We start from the raw sequence: 15,401 nt of genomic DNA, 5'->3' as shown, positions 1-15,401 counted from the left end.
CGGGAGTGGGGGCGGGTCATCGCTCTCCCCCAGCCTGTGACGGCTCCTCCAGCCTCTGCTCAGCTGGACAGAGCCATCAGGGTCACCGGCATGGTACTGCACCCGGCCCTGCGATGGCCTCCTCTCCAGGCCTCTGGGCTGTTGGTCTTCTCTCTGTAAGCCTCGCCTCTCCCTGACAGAGACTGTTGTCAGGCCATTCACCCTACCAGAGATCCATGACCACGAGGCCTAGGAGATACCGCTCCAATGGTGGTGTTTCGGGCAGGAGGAAGCTGAGACGGCTTTGAGGGGCTGGGGGTGTTGAGGGTATCCCAGTGCTGTAAGAGGGACGGGAAGTTGAGCTGGCCAGCCTGACACCTGGCACGGGGCCCTTTCTGCTCTATCCAGCTGGCAGCTGAGAGAACTGGGGCCCAGAGAGGGTGAGCAACCTGCCCTGCACCACGCAGCCTTGTGCCTTGCTCCTCAGGGAGGCCGACTGCCAGGCTTGCAGGGCTAGGGGCGGGGGTTGACTTGGCAGAAGAGGTGGGAAGGAGGGTCAAGGGCACGGGCAGCTGGGTGAGCTGGCGCAGCAGGAGGCCAGGTCAAGACTTTTGGTTGCAGGTGGGAGTCTGGGTGAGGAGGCCAGGAAGTAGTGGGCAGGGGACATGAGGGCCACTGGGCAGGTACAGGGGCTACCAGTGTCACACACTGGGTGGCAGGAGGGCATCCAGTTCCCAGGGCCCAGGATGCTGGAGCATGGAGGGGCTTAGAGCAAGGTCTGGCCTCAGAGGAGACACATGGTCAGAGAGGGGCAGGGTCTTCCCCAGGCCACACAGCTTCTGAGGAGAGGCAGGGGAGCCAGAGGGGGAGAAGTGGTCAAGGGGCCAAGTGCCCAGGACACAGGGACATGGAAGTGTCCTGCCCAGTGAGAGGTGGGAGGCTCCTTGTTTTGGAGAATCCTGTGAGCCCGTGGATGAGCTCACTCGCACCCGCCTCTGGCGTGTCCCAACAGGGCCCTTCCAACAGAAGCCTGACTATTTTGCATCCCTGGGACAGCTGCCTGGAGCTCTGGAGGAGACCCCACCCCCAGGATGGGTGCCCTGGGCTCCTGGCCAGGGGGTGCTCTGTTGTGCCAGAAGGCTGGACCCCCGAGCAGCAGAGTGTGAGCCACACTGCTCAGAGGACAACAAGAGGGTGGGACTGGAGGGCCAGGGAGGGCGCAAATAGACACGTGCACATGGGAGCTAACCTCTGAGGATGTAAAGGCATAAGAGTGATAGGATGGGCTGGGCACACTGGCTCATACCTGTAATCCCAGCCCGCTGAGGTGGATGAATAACCTGAGGTCAGGAGTTCGAGACCAGCCTGGCCAACATGGTGAGACCCTGTCTCTACTAAAAATACAAAAAGTAGCCAGGCGTGGTGGTGCGCTCCTGCAATCCCAGCTACTCAAGAGGCTGAGACACGAGAATCTCTTGAACCCGGGAGGTGGAGGTCGCAGGGAGCCAAGATCATACCACTGCACTCCAGCCTGGGTGACAAAACGAGACTGTCTCAAAAAAAAAAAAAAGAATGATACAATGGACTTTGAGGACTCAGGGGAAACGCTGGGAGGGTGTGAGGGATAAAAGACTACACATTGGGTACAGTGTATACCACTCGGGTGATGGATACACCAAAATCTGAGAAATCGCCACTAAAGAACTTATTCATGTAACCAAACACCACCTGTTCTCCAGACACAGCCCCGGTCCTCATGAAGCGCCCAGATATTTGGAGAAGGGTGTCGGGGAGGTCTCTTGGCCTGTAATGGCCACATGTGCTGTGGGAAGAATCTGGCAAGCGTCCCTGGGGTATGAAGGGGAGAGAGGCTCATTCCTTGGTTGAGGGTCTCAGGGAGGACTGCACGGAGGAGGGGACACAGGCAGAGTCCAGAAAGATCAGCATGAGTCATCGAGGTGAAAAAGGAGGGGACAAGCTGGGCTGGGAGGAAACAAGCTGGAGCTCAGTAGGGCCAGGGCCATGGAGGCTGAGGGACGTGGCAGCCCAAGTGTGGCCAGTCCTGAGTGCTGGCCCGGGGGCCCTCTGTGGCGCAGCTGGGAACCATCAGGAGGAATGGGGGCCCAGGTTTTCGGGGAGATAGAGAGATCTGTGGCATGGTTGGGGAGGGAGGGCTGGCCCCTGCAGAAGGAATCCAGCTCAAGGGTGGAGATGCATCCCAGATGAGGGCTGTGATCACACAGAGGTGGACAGGAGAGCAATGTGAGAGGTGGTATGGATGGGGTACACTGGCCCTTCTCTTCCCTCCTTCCTGGCATCCACCTTTCTCTAAGTGGCAAACTCCGGCTCATCCCTCAAAGTCAGTGCGGGCGCCCACCCTTGTAGTGTTCCCCCACCCCCGTACTGGCCCCCACCCCCGTACCGTCCCACCAGCAGGAGCTCCCGCTCGCCGGAGCGGGGACGCAGCCGCCTCCAGATGTCCATAGTGAAGAGGGTGCTGCTGCTGTTGAAGATGGAGGTCAGCGACGACATGAGCGCCGCCAGCATCACTGCGATCATCAGCCCCCGCAGACCTGGGGTGGGACGGGGGATGTGTGACCCTGTCCGGCCTTGAGACAGCCCCGGGAACCCCTCCCGCCTGGGCTCTAATGCCTGAGGCCCGCCCGCCATTTGCATGCTCCTCCAAGGCAGAGGGCGGGGAGGGAGAGAAGCTGAGGAGGTTTGAGGTGAGCAAGACCCAGAATGAGGAGACTGGGGAGGCCAAGGACAAACCGTGGGGACTTCGGAGCTGGCTGCTTGAGCCCTAGGCTTGCTGGCAACCCTAGGCCCGACCATAATTACTCATAATGCTGAGGCTGCGATCAGGCCTGTCCTTTCTGCAGAGCCTGGCGTTGACAAAGCACTTTCACACCCATGCCTTCGTCCGAGGAAAGCATGATTAACCCGCTTGACAGATGAGGAAATGGAAGCTCAGAGAAGTGAAGAGATTGCCCAGGGATTCACAGCAGGCCAGCGGCAGGACTTTGGGGTGCGGTGGGGTTGGTGAGGAAGGCTTGGGCGGGGCCTCTGCTTGAAGGCCACACCCTGGGCAAGATGCACACCTCACCCCAGCATGCAGTGCCCCAGTCTCTGGAATTTTCCGCCACTTCCTGTGCATGGCAGGACCCAGCAGGCATAGTGGATCCCCTCTCTCCTTGGCTCTGTGGTTTTCCAGAGTGGGAGTGAGGGCTCCCCTAGGAGGTGCGGGTAGCATTGCTGTGAAAGGCCTTCTGGGAGTTGTGGGCTCAAGAGGGCCTGAGGGTGAGGAGCCCTAAGGAAGGTGGAAGGATGCTCAACTGCCCACTCTGTGCTGTGTGGCTTCAGGCTGGTCGCCTCCCCTCTCTGGGGATGAGTTCAAGTCTGTCTACAAGAACTCCTGCAATTTTAAGCACCTCCTTTACCTCTACAAACTCTTGCCCGTCTGTCCTAGGATAAGCCTGACATAGGCCCCCCTGCCCGGAAGGCACAGCCATTTATTGCCTGGCTGGGTTGTCTGGCCTCGGTTCTGTGTCTGATTGGCTGTGTGACTTCCAGGTGTCTCTGGGCTCTCTGTTCACTTGTCAGAAGCTGGTTGGGATGGAGCCCAAAGGAAAGTGAGTCAAATCACAGTTTTCCCCAAAACATTTCTCCACCCACTCCCTTGTCTTGCTCATGGAGATGGATGAACTTGGAGCTTATTCCATCCATTTCTTAGAGAGGGAACTCAAGACCTAGAGAGGGACTGTGGCCCAACAATGGCTCGGTGTCAGCCCTGGAGGGCTTAGCGAGTCCCCTTGCCCAGAACAGAAGAGAAAAGCGAAGGCCCAAGGTGGGAACTACAGCATGGCCAAGCCTGCACCCAGCATTTTCCCTGTGTCATTATGTTTAATCCCAGCAACAACGCTGAGGGGTGGGTAGATGCCATTATCTCCAATTTACAAATGAGGACACCCAGGCTCCAAGCAGGGAAGTGACATGCCCCAAATTTCTTGGCCAGTGAGTGGCAGCCTCCACAGTCCCCATACTCATTGGGCCCCAAGTCCAACCCCACGCCCTCCACCCAGACCCCCACCCACACAGCCTCACCGATGGGCATCAGTTCCATGACCAGCTTGGGGTAGGCGATGTTGGAGCAGCCGACCTCGGCCCCGCAGGCCCGCAGGCACTCGGACGGCACCACGCAGCCCACATCATCTGTTCGAGAGACGGACACTTGGTGTCTCTCCTCATAGACATGAGCACCTGGGGTGGGCAAGATAGGGCTGGGGGCAGGAGCCTGGCCCAGACCTGCTCCATCAATGCCTCTGACCTGTTACCATTTGGCCTTGGGCCTCAGTTTCACAATCTGAGCCACAGGGAGGGCATGGCCTCTGAAAATCCTTTTCCCTGCTGTTCTCCATCATAACTCTTCTTCCTGATCCTACTTCTTGGCCAGGGGGCTCACCTGCCGTTGGCTCTGCTGTGTGAGGTCCGCCATTAGAGTCTACCTGGGGCCTGAGCCTCCCTTGCCCCCCTCGTCCCCAGCCATTCTCCCCAAAGGGGGAAATGGAGGCTAGAGAAGAGAGAGGCCTGCAGGATGGGCCCTGCCCCAGGCCCTCAACCTGTTCCCTGGGCTTTGTGTTCACTCAGCGACAAGTCAACAAGTCGCGTCTGTCCATGGGCAGCCGGCTTGAGTGTGCTGTCACACAGCTGCAGCTCATGCAGCAGGGCTGTGGTGAAAGCTCAGGGGCTGGCGAGGCCTGCCTGCTCCAACTTCCTGGCTTAGGACGTGGGGTCAGAGCCCATCCACACCCCTGTCTCCAACCCTGGGGTCCAAGCTTTACGCCAGGCTATTTCCTGCTGCAGAGAGCTGAGCTGATGCCCAGGACTCTCCAGCCACTCAGCCTCTCAACAGTCTACAAGACCCTGGGTGATCCAGACCCTTGGCCCCTCCCCACAAGTCCCTCCTCGCTCCCACCTGAGGCCTGCCCCAGGCCTCGCCTGAGGACTGCCTCCTTCCCGAATTCCGGTCTGTCCTTCCCACCCCATTCTCCGTCTGTCCCCTTGCCCCACATCGCTTTCCCTCATCCCTTGTCATCCCTGGGAGGACTTGGACATGTTTATTTGGTTCTTGCCACTTCCCTGTGGCAGGTGAGTCCTGAGAGGACGGGGTTTGCCTCGTGCTATCTCCCCCATGGCTGGGGTGGTACACACGGCTCATCTGTTGAATGAAAGGACTCACGAATTTCCCAGGCTCAGGCCAGATCCCGACTGAACCCTAAATCCAGGCATCCCTCGGCCTCCTGCCCTGTGTGGGGGCAGAACCCCGGCCTACCTCCATAGCCCTGAGGTGTGGGGCTCTCCTCACTGCTCTGCTCAGTGAGATTTGCTGGTGTTAGCAGTCGTGGGGCTGACTTTGGCCTAGTGATACGTAGGGATGAAGAGAGTTGACCCACATTCTCTTTTTCCTCCCATAAAAGACTTTCTAGAAAGCTTTGGCCCCTGCTTCTGGGGTTTTCAGGAGGGCCCAGAGTGCAGAGCTAACCAGAAGATGATGATTACGGGGGAGTTCAGAAACAAGCTGACTGACAGCACTGCAGTGGCTGGTTAGGGGCAGGCAGAGTTGCAACACAGCAGCAGCAGGGGCGGCTGGCATTGACACTTCTGTGACTTGGTGCTCCCTCTGTAGACTGCCCCCTCCAAAGCCCCCTTCTGATACGTCCCTTCTTAGATGCCCAGCCCATGGGGAAGGGCGGGTCTCACACCCCTTCCCCCAGGCCAGCTGGCCTGGGGCAGTGTCCCCTACCCTGGCAGTCCCCCCTACCCTGGCAGTGTCCCCTACCCTGGCACCCTTGAACATGTCCCAGTCTCCAGCCCAGCCTGTTTGAGCTCCAGGCTTCCCGGACGCCAGGTTCCTGTCATCCCCCAGGCACCTCCCTGGCTCCTCCCATTAGCCCCCCAGGCTCATAGCTTCTTCCCCCTCCCGTCTGGGGCCCACCCTGCCCAATCCCATGCTCCTCCCCAGCCTCCTGTCCATCCTCTCCACACTTTGGAGTCACAGCTCTCAGCCTATTACTTATTTCTCAGGACCCTCCTCCCTACCCCCACCTCTCAGCCCATGGCATCCTGGGGGAAAAAAGTATCCTTTCTATGGCATTCGAGGCCCTTGACAGTTGGTCCCAGAACCTCCCATCCCAGCACCGTGCACGAGCCACCCTGACCTGCTTGTATTTTCTCACACACACCCAGCACTTGGACGCCTCCATGCCTTTGCAGACGTAGTCCCTCCTCCCAGGGCACCACTGTCCGTCTAACACCCACCCACACCCTTGTTTACCTCCTGCTTCAAGGCCCATTGCAAAGGGCTTGTGCTCTGAGGCCTTCCCTGACTCTCCCAACCCCCAAGGCAGTAGCAGCTTCCTCCCAAGGGCTCCTAAGGCCAAAGATTGAATCACAGTTGTTTGTTTACATAGTCTACCTTCCCCACCAGGACGGAGGCTCCCCAAGGGCAGACACTGGGTTTGAATCATCTCCAAGTCCCAGGTATCGCCTGGTCCAGGGCCGGGCCCAGAAGAGACTTTCTGGGAACACTGATTGAATGAATGAATAAGTGACTGCATGGTGGGGAGGAGGGAGGAAAGGCACAGGAGGAGAGGAGGAGTGGGAGAAGGGATCCCAGAAAGAGCCATGAGGAGTTCAGGCACTGTTTGATCCAGCTGCCCTACCCTACCACCTCTACCCCCATTAGTTTTTCAGGACCAGAAAGGACATAACTTGCCTGGGGGACACAGTCGGATCCAAGACAGAGCCGGGGGCCCCATGGCAGAACTCTGAGGACACTGGGGTCCAGGATTCAGAGGACAGGTGATGAGCCACTGCTGATGGGCTCTGAACCTAGGCAGGCTGACTGGCACTCGGAGGACCCAGCCCTCCTGGGAGGGACAGGTGAGGCGTTGCAGCCATATATGTTTCAGAAAGCCCGAGTCAGGAGATTCTTTGTGAGTTTCTTCAGCCCATTCCAGGCTCTCGGCATGGGAAACCGCCCCGAGTCCCACTGGTTTGACCAAGTGTTTGTGCTGAGCAGCAAGAAAGAACTTCTTTATGAGAACCGTGGCAGTGGTGTCACCATTGAAACACAGTCCCCCAGGACTCCAGAGTAAGCAGCCCCGGGGAGGCAGAGCTGGGGGCAGTGAGAACTGGGGAGCTGGCAGGGGTCTATGGGTTTGCCAGGGTACTGGCTTCTGCAGGCCTAGGAGCTCCCCACTGGGCCCCACTTTTGCATCAGCTCCCCGTCCAGCCAAGGCCCACACCAGAAGCCAGGGGTTGCCCCTCCTCGTCCCCTTGTCTTCCCTCCCCATGGCCAATGCCCAGTCCTGTTTGATTATTAGGCGAACTGCACTACCTCCTTGCTGTGCCTCCTAATCCACTCCCCCTGCAAGCAAGCAAAGGGAACTTCGAAACCCACCAATCCGCCCACGCTCTTCCCTGCTCAAACCCGCTCCGTGCCTCTCCAGCCGCTGCCGGGGTATCACAGGCTCCAATTAAGGCCCTCCCACACCCCTTGCTATGGCCACCTCGCTCGGCCACCCTCTCCTTGACTAATTTCACCCAGACTTCTGGCACCCCAGGCTCTCCTGGACACCTCTAGGTCTCTGTGTTTGCTGTTCCTTCTCCCTGGAACACCCTTCCCACCTTCTGCCCTTCCCTGGATTTATCCCAGGGAACTTATACTCATTCCTCTCAATTCATTATGGACATCTGAGCCCTTCAGGCTTTGGGGCTATATCCTCCACAGCACCAATAACTCTATGACCTCTGACTGTCCTGTCTCCCACCCAGACTATGACTATGGGGCCTCAGGGAAAAGTCTGGGTCTCAACAGTGCTTAGCACAAGCAACCATATGGTAGCTTCTGCCAGTGTCTGTTGACTGAGTGAATGATTCCCTCCCAAGGAGGTCACTGGACACAGTCCCTTGAGGAGTAATCAAGGTGCTCTCTACTCCCTAACCAGGCCCGGCACATTCTCGGGAGCCAGTCCAGACACTGCCATTGCAGGAGGGAGCAGGAGAAAGGCTCCCAGACCTGAGTACAAATCCAGTTCTCAGTCAGGCAGAGTGGCTTACATCTGTAATCCCAACACTTTGGGAGGCCGAGGCAGGAGGATTGTTTGAGGCCAGGAGTTCAAGACCAACCTGACCAATATAGGGAGACCCCATCTCAATTAAACAACAAAGCCTGGCGAAAGCATGTCTCTACCAAAAACATTAAAATTAGCGTGGTGGTTCGTGCCTGTAGTCTCAGCTATTCGGGAGGCTGAGGTGGGAGGATTGTTTGAGTATGGGAGGTGCAGGCTGCAGTGAACCGTGATTGCACCGCTGCACTCCAGCCTTGAGGTGACAGAGCAAGACCCTGTCTCAAACAAACAAACAAACAACAACAACAACAAAACAAACTCAGCTCTCCCAATCCCTTGCTGTAAGATCTTGAGTGATTATTAAGATCTCTGAGACTGGCCAGGAACGGTGGCTCATGCCTGTAATCCTAGCACTTTGGGAGGCTGAGGTGGATGAATCACTTGAGGCCAGGAGTTTGAGACCAGCCTGGGCAAGATGGTGAAGCCCTGTCTCTACCAAAAAATACAAATATTAGCAAGGTGCAGTGGCACGCACCTGTAGTCCCAGCTACTTGGGAGGCTACGGCACGAGAATCGCTGAACCTGGGAGATGGAGGTTGCAGTGAGCCGAGATCAGGCCATTGCACTCCAGCCTGGGAGACACAGCAAGACGCTATCTCAAAAAAAAAAAAAAAAATAATAATAATAATAATGCCAGGCACGGTGGCTCACGCCTGTAATCCCAGCACTTTGGGAGGCTGAGGCGGGCAGATCACGAGGTCAGGAGATCGATACCATCCTGGCTAACACGGTGAAACCCCGTCTCTATTAAAACTACAAAAAATTAGCAGGGCGTGGTGGCAGGCGCCTGTAGTCCCAGCTACTCCGGAGGCTGAGGCAGGAGAATGGTGTGAACCCAGGAGGCGGAGCTTGCAGTGAGCTGAGATCGTGACACTGCACGCCAGCCTGGGCAACAGTGCAAGACCCCGTATCAAAAAAAAAAAAAAAATCTGTGAGGCTGTCTCCTCCTCTGTAAAAACTCAGAATTCTGAGAACATCTATAGGCCAAAAACCTACCCTCAATCTAAACTTCACACCTTATACAAAAATTAACTCAAAATAGATCACAGATTTAAATGTAAAATGTTAAAAAAAACTATCAAACTTTTGGGGAAAATAATAGGAGAAAATCTTTAGGACCTAAGGCTAGGCTGTAAAAGTTGATCATACACATTGGATCATTCTTGTCTACAAAACTAAAATAGAGTTAAGAGGACAGTGGGGGAAAGCACCCAGGGTACATAACATTATTCCAAAAATGCAATTCCCTATGAGCCTGGCTGGTGAAAGAAACTCCCTTTTACAACCTGCAACCAGTTTTATCTATAGCTGCTGAGATAACTTGCTACAGATCTAGGACTAATTTTGCTTACCACCATCACTTACCAGTCAGAACTCTTCAGCTCCCCAAACCCTTACCAGTGCCAAGGAACTTTCTCAAAGAGCACTAAGTAACATTTCTGCTTTCAAGAAAACCTCTAACCTTCTTTGTGTTCTCCAGACACATCAAAGACCACCCAGTCTTTGTGCATGCCCTGAATTGCAATTTTTCTTCCCAAATAAAACGTTAAATATAGAGATTCATCTCTACATTTTCATTTTGACTTCAACAAAGTGAATAGTTCTTAGACTTGATGCCAAAAGCATGATGCATAAAAGGAAAAATTGATAAACTGGACCTCATCAACATTTAAAACTTTAGCTCTGTGTAAGACACCTCGAAGAGGATGAAAAAGCAAGCTACTGACTGGGAGAAAATATTTGCAGAGCACACACCCAACAAAGGTCCTGTAGCTAGAATATATAAAGAACTTTTGAAATTCAACAGTATAAGCCTGGGCAACATAGCAAGACCATGATTCTACTAAAAATAAAAAACAATTAGCCAGGCATGGTGGTGCACATCTGTAGTCCCAGCTACTCAGGAGGCTGAAGTGGGAGGACGGCTTGAGTCCAGGAATTTGAGGTTGCAGTGAGCTATCATTAAGCCACTGCACTTCAGCCTGGATAACAGAGCAAGAGCCTATCTCTAATAAAACAAAAAAGTAAAAAAGTTAAAACTCAAGAGTTAAAAAATAGACAATCCATTTAGAAAATGGGCAAAAGACATGAACAAATGTTTCAAAGGAAAAGACAAACAGATGGCATATAAGCCCATGAAAAGAGATTCAATGACATTAGCCATCAGGAAAGCACAAATTTAAGCCACAATAAGATATGATCTACCTATCAGAATGGCCAAAAAAAAAAAAAAAAATAGCGGTAACACCACATGTTGGCAAGGATGTGGAGAAACTGGATCACTCATACATTGTTGGTGAGAATGTGAAATGGTACAGCCACTCTGGAAAAAGTTTGGCAGTGTTTGAACATGCAACTACCAGGACCCAGGAATAACACTCTTGGGCACTTATGCCAGAGAAATGAAACCTGATGTTTATATACATATGTGTATGAATGCTCATAACAAGGTTATTTGTAATAATCAAAAGCTGGAAACCCCACATATCCTTCAATCACTGAAATGGTTAAGCAAACTGTGGTATATCCATACCATGGAATACTAGTCAGCAATGAAAAGCACAAACCATTGATCCATGAAACAACCTGGATGACTTGCTGGAGAATTATGCTAAGTGGGAAAAAAGGCCAATCCCAAAAGTTTATATACTATATCTTCCATTTATATAGCATTCTTGAAACAGCAAAATTGTTGAATTGTAGAATAGATTAGTGGTTGCCAGAAGTTAGGAATGGTGGTCGGGGGAGGTGTGGGGATGGCTACAGAGAAGGAGATCTTTGTAGTGACAGAACAGTTCTGTATCTTGACTGTAATGGTGGTTACACAAATCTATACACATAATAAGGTTGTATAACACACATAAATGAGTGCATGTAAAACTGGTGAAATCTGGCCAGTGCAGTGGCTCACGCCTATAATCCCAGAACTTCGGGAGGCCAAGGTGGGAGAATCACTTGAGGCCAGGAGTTTGAGACCAGTCTGAGCAACATAGTGAGGCCTTGTCTCTACAAAAAAAAAAAAAAAAGAAAAAAGAAAAAAGAAAAAAAATTAGCTGGGCATGGTGTCTCTGGTCCCAGCTACTCAGGAGGCTGAGGCTTGAGCCCAGGAGTTCAAGGCTGCATTGAGCAATGATTGTACATACCACTGCACTCCAGCCTAGGTGACAGAGCAAGACCCTGTCCCAAAACAAACAAAAAACTGGTGAAATCTAAATAAGCTTTGTGGATTGCACCAGTGTCAATTTTCTGGCTGTGATATTATTGTATTATAGTTATGCAAAACGTCGCTACTGGGGAAAACTGGGTGCATACAACCTTCCTGCTCATCAACTGCAGAAGTGTTGGGGTGGTGGAGGTGGGAGTGAGGCCTTGGACTCCCTTCCTGAACTCTCCAGCCTCTGTGCATTGGTAAGAACACAGGGAGAAGCTGAGGCGGCTCAGAGAAGGTCTTACAGGGGATCCACAGTAGCAGAGGGGCTATAAATGGGTCTTCAGGACCCTCAAGGCAGGGCTCCCCCGCTGGGATCACCTCCCCTCTCTGGCCCTGGGGCAGGAGGAGGATGCAAATATGTGTGCCTGTTCCCCAGGGGCCACTATGTTCAGTAGCATAAAGCCCTTGGGGGGCTATATGGCAGAGTGTAGGACTTCATGCTTGAGGGGTCAGTGATGGGGACCACAAGGATGCTGGGCCTAGGAGGCTAGTCATTGCCCAGGGCAGTGGACTCAGAGGCAAGGAGTCCTGATGGGCCATGAATGGTGGAGAAGGCCTTGGAGGGGGGGGGTTTGAGGGCACAAGGCCTAGAGATGTCACCAGCCTACGGAAGCAGCATCCTTACGGGACCCAAACCAGCCCCATCCAGATCCAGAGCAAGTATGGGGGATGGGAGGAAGGGCTGGGCCTGGTGCCGGGCAGACTGGCTGCGGCACGCGATGGGGTGGGGGCTGTTTGTTGGGCCAGATTTAATGGGCTTTGCTGTCCCACCCTCAAAGCCTGCCTTCAGATGTGGTCTCCACGCTCCCCATAACCAGGGTCCCAACCCCAGGGGACGCTCAGCAGAGAGCTGGGCCTGACCCCAGCCCACAGCGGCCCTCTTGGCCCCTCCCTGCCCTAGGGTTCAGGTCGGGTGCTGCCCGCCACGCAGAAGCAGTCCGGGGACCCCTCCCAGAGGGGATCAGGGCTTAGGACTGAGAACTGGGTATCTGCTCAGGAAAGCCCTGAGTTTGGGTCAGTCAGTGCCCTATCCCTGCCTGGGGGCTCCCAGCCCAGTACCCTAGACCTGTTTCCACAACTGGACAGCTGGGTATCTATACAGCCGCACGGACTTCCCGCCACGCCGGCGAAACTGGGCACAGCCAGGGTTGATCCAGGATCACCAACAGACCCTGGGGGCACAGGGGGGTGCCAAGGCTGTTGACCCGCTGTGTGACCTCAGGGAGAACACTGTCCCTCTCTGGGATGGGTGTTCCAGGAGCTCTTGGGCTTAGGCCTCTGATATTTTCGGAATTCGGGCACCAGGGGACCGTGGGCAGTGCGTCCGCCCCAGGTCTGTCTGTCTGTCGAGGGGTGAATCAGCTTCCGGCCCCGCCCCGGGCGGCACGTGACCGCAGGTGGCGGCGGCGGGGTAAGCGGGGCGGCCCTGAGTCACCGGCGCGCCCCCGCCCAGCCTCGCGCCGCCGCCGCAGCCGCCGCGTGTGCGCCCCGCTCCGCCAGCGCCCGCTCGGTAAGCAAGTCCCGGCCGCGCCCCCCGGATCCCGGGTCTCGCGGGGCGTCGCCGCCCCGCAACCGCGTTTCTGGGTCTCCTGGACCCCTCCCAGAGCCCCAGCCTCCTCCGGGCAGGCCTCCTGGGTTGCCGGCACCCGGAAATTTTAAGACCCCTCCCTTACCCGGAAGCCCTCGGTTTGCGGGGCGCCTCTGTGCCGGGGCCGCCTCCCACTCTAAGAAGCTACTGGGAAGTTCCCCGGCTGCCCTAGTTTCCCTCAGAAGTTGCGAGGACTTCAGGCAGCTCCGGAAATCTGGGATATGGGTTCCCTGCACGTAGAGGCACGCTGAGCCCTGGGACGTGGCCCACCGCTCCCTCACCGCTGTTCCGATCCCTTACTTTCTTCCCATCCCAGTCCAGTGCCCCCACCTCATCTTCCCAGCCCCAGCCCCAGCCCCGTCCTTCCCACGCCCACCTGAGTTCCCGGCCCCGCCCCCGCCGCCCCTCCCCGCGCGGCCCGCCCTCCCCGCCGAGCCGGGCTCATCAGGTCTTTCCCGCAGATTGCTCATGGGCAGAGAAGCAGAGGCCGCGGAGAGGCCCCCGAGCGCGCGGTGCCCCAGCTGGGCCGGAGCTAGGAGCTGGACCTTGCCCACCCACCCCCGGCAGCAGTGCCCGGGCAGGCGGCGCCATGGCCTTCTCTCAGGTGCAGTGTCTGGACGACAACCATGTGAACTGGCGCTCCAGCGAGTCCAAGCCTGAGTTCTTCTACAGCGAGGAGCAGCGGCTGGCGCTGGAGGCCCTGGTGGCCCGCGGCCGGGACGCCTTCTACGAGGTGCTCAAGCGGGAGAACATCCGAGACTTCCTCTCGGAGCTGGAGCTCAAGCGCATCCTGGAGACCATCGAGGTGTACGACCCGGGCTCTGAGGACCCTCGGGGCACGGGCCCCTCTCAGGGGCCCGAGGACAATGGGGTCGGCGACGGCGAGGAAGCCAGCGGGGCGGATGGGGTCCCCATCGAGGCCGAGCCGCTGCCCTCCCTGGAGTACTGGCCCCAGAAGTCGGACCGCTCCATCCCGCAGCTGGACCTGGGCTGGCCCGACACCATCGCCTACCGCGGCGTGACCCGGGCTAGCGTCTACATGCAGCCCCCCATAGACGGGCAGGCCCACATCAAAGAGGTGGTGCGGAAGATGATCAGCCAGGCACAGAAGGTGAGGCAGCGCGGGGACTCCTGGAGCCATGGCCCAACCAGCCACCGGACCCCTCTCAATACAGGCTCACTCAGAGCCCAAAACGGGAGCCCAACATGGGCTTCTAGGGATCTCTGCTGTTTTCCCTGGCTGCCTCTTGGGTGGAGGTTTCCTCCCCACCTTCGTGGGGATCCGCAGTTTCTTTGCAGGGTAGGGTTCCCAGGTCCTAGCAGGTGACAGTGGGCTGCCCCGTCTCAAAGGGCCTCTTTATTGTTGGAGGGTGTTTCTGGTTCCCCAGAAGAAGGCACCGAGATAGGGTGGAGTGGGGAGGGGAGGAACCCCAGGGCTTCCTCTCACTCTCCCTTAGAGTGGCTCTGATTCACTGTAAAGGCGCGCACACACCATGAGCTCTCTGGTGGGGAGAGCTTTTGTTGTGGGGTGAGGGAATAGGCATGGTCCAAGTCCATCTGAGACTGGCCTGGAGGTCCTTGTTCAACACTGCCTGTTTCCTAGCTGTGCTGAGCAACTGGGAGCAGATTGCACACCCTCTCTGAGCCTCTTTGTGAGCTTTGCAATGGTGGAAACTTTCCAGGCCAGGATGCTTGGGTGAGGGAGGTGTGGTCCTCATCTGTGGAAGTGGAGTGAGTCCACCTGAGCATTGTCCACCTGAATTTTGCCACCGGAAGGGACCTCAAGCCTTCTCTGGCCCTCCCCTTCTCCACCCCTGTTGGGCTATGCAGTGCCCTAGCTGTGGGGGGCCATTCTTGGCTGACACACCGTCACACATTCTGAGAAGGGGTGCTTGCCATTTGCAGAGACAGCTAGGCCACTGCTGGACAGTTGTGACCATGAGCAGGTGCTAATGCCTGCTGCACGTAAGTACCTTCTCATCGTTTCCAAGCACATCTTAATTTGATAGATAAAGCTTACCTAGTGAGCTGTGTTGAGAAGGATTCTGAAGCCAGGTCTGGGCCTCAGGTTGTGGGATGAGGTGTTCCTAGCTGGGTCTAATCCCTTTATACTTCCAGTCCCAGAGCAGGGCAGCCAATTGCAGAAGACCAGAATGCTGGCTTCGGGGACCATCCTGGCTAACTGACAGGGCCTTGGGGAAGTTCGTGGGCAGAGAAACCAGACGTGGGTCAAGAACTGGTGAGGTGGCCCCTGGCCCTGGCCCCAGTTTCCAGGAAGGTGGAGTCCCTGCCCAACAAGGGGACCAGTTGGGTCAGCTAGCTGGGTGGGGGCGCCTGGCCCCTGGCCTGGCTGCTCTCAATTCACTGACTGACCCTGGGCAGCTTTGAGGCTTCGGGTTTCTGATCTATAAGATGGAGGTGGTGTGGATAA

At 56.0% G+C, this 15,401-nt stretch overlaps 2 protein-coding genes across 8 annotated transcripts in view, besides 4 other annotated features; one reads left to right on the top strand and one right to left on the bottom strand.

Moving 5' to 3' along the window:
• SLC5A10 (solute carrier family 5 member 10) overlaps positions 1–15,401 on the bottom strand; it is a 71,890-nt gene that overhangs the window by 4,965 nt on the left and 51,524 nt on the right. For 2 of the 6 annotated variants that reach the window (NM_001282417.1, XM_017024191.3), the window contains 3 exons: positions 4,084–4,239; positions 2,402–2,552; positions 207–317 (listed from right to left, as the gene is read on the bottom strand). In NM_001282417.1, the coding sequence (NP_001269346.1) occupies positions 207–317; positions 2,402–2,552; positions 4,084–4,239 (418 nt within the window). The remainder of the gene's footprint in view (positions 1–206; positions 318–2,401; positions 2,553–4,083; positions 4,240–15,401) is intronic. The other 4 variants (NM_001042450.4, NM_001270648.3, NM_152351.6 and 1 more) reach the window with 3 other exon arrangements.
• Positions 2,528–3,517: an enhancer, noted in NCBI's record as "H3K4me1 hESC enhancer chr17:18917397-18918386 (GRCh37/hg19 assembly coordinates)". NCBI's record gives its function as "activates a minimal SCP1, AML or CMV promoter by ChIP-STARR-seq in primed H9 embryonic stem cells {active_cell/tissue: H9 hESC(primed)}" and the evidence as "EXISTENCE:reporter gene assay evidence [ECO:0000049][PMID:30033119]".
• Positions 6,052–6,221: an enhancer, noted in NCBI's record as "experimental_47104 CRE fragment used in MPRA reporter constructs". NCBI's record gives its function as "activates a minimal promoter by MPRAs in K562 erythroleukemia cells, with activity observed for both the introgressed and non-introgressed 17:18914778 variant alleles {active_cell/tissue: K562}" and the evidence as "EXISTENCE:reporter gene assay evidence [ECO:0000049][PMID:34662402]".
• Positions 10,851–11,145: a silencer, noted in NCBI's record as "tiled region #2479; K562 Repressive non-DNase unmatched - State 23:Low". NCBI's record gives its function as "represses a minimal TATA promoter and a strong SV40 promoter by Sharpr-MPRA in K562 cells {active_cell/tissue: K562}" and the evidence as "EXISTENCE:reporter gene assay evidence [ECO:0000049][PMID:27701403]".
• The window catches only part of FAM83G (family with sequence similarity 83 member G), a 37,328-nt gene continuing 33,411 nt past the window's right edge, over positions 11,485–15,401 (top strand). The window contains exons 1-2 of one of the 2 annotated variants that reach the window (XM_017024953.3): positions 11,485–11,579; positions 13,432–14,081. In XM_017024953.3, coding sequence (XP_016880442.1) covers positions 13,560–14,081 — 522 coding nt within the window. In that variant the 5' untranslated portion in view covers positions 11,485–11,579; positions 13,432–13,559. Of the gene's footprint in view, positions 11,580–12,836; positions 12,893–13,431; positions 14,082–15,401 lie in introns of those variants that run through there. The other variant, NM_001039999.3, reaches the window with a different exon arrangement.
• Positions 12,666–12,965: a silencer, noted in NCBI's record as "silent region_8282". NCBI's record gives its function as "represses an Ori minimal core promoter by ATAC-STARR-seq in GM12878 lymphoblastoid cells {active_cell/tissue: GM12878}" and the evidence as "EXISTENCE:reporter gene assay evidence [ECO:0000049][PMID:35858748]".

The sequence above is a fragment of the Homo sapiens genome, chromosome 17 (genome assembly GCF_000001405.40).
Source record: "Homo sapiens chromosome 17, GRCh38.p14 Primary Assembly".
In the NCBI taxonomy this organism is placed as follows: domain Eukaryota; kingdom Metazoa; phylum Chordata; class Mammalia; order Primates; family Hominidae; genus Homo; species Homo sapiens.
The sequence above is the reverse complement of the archived record's forward strand: the minus strand, read 5'-3'. Positions and strand labels throughout refer to the sequence as shown.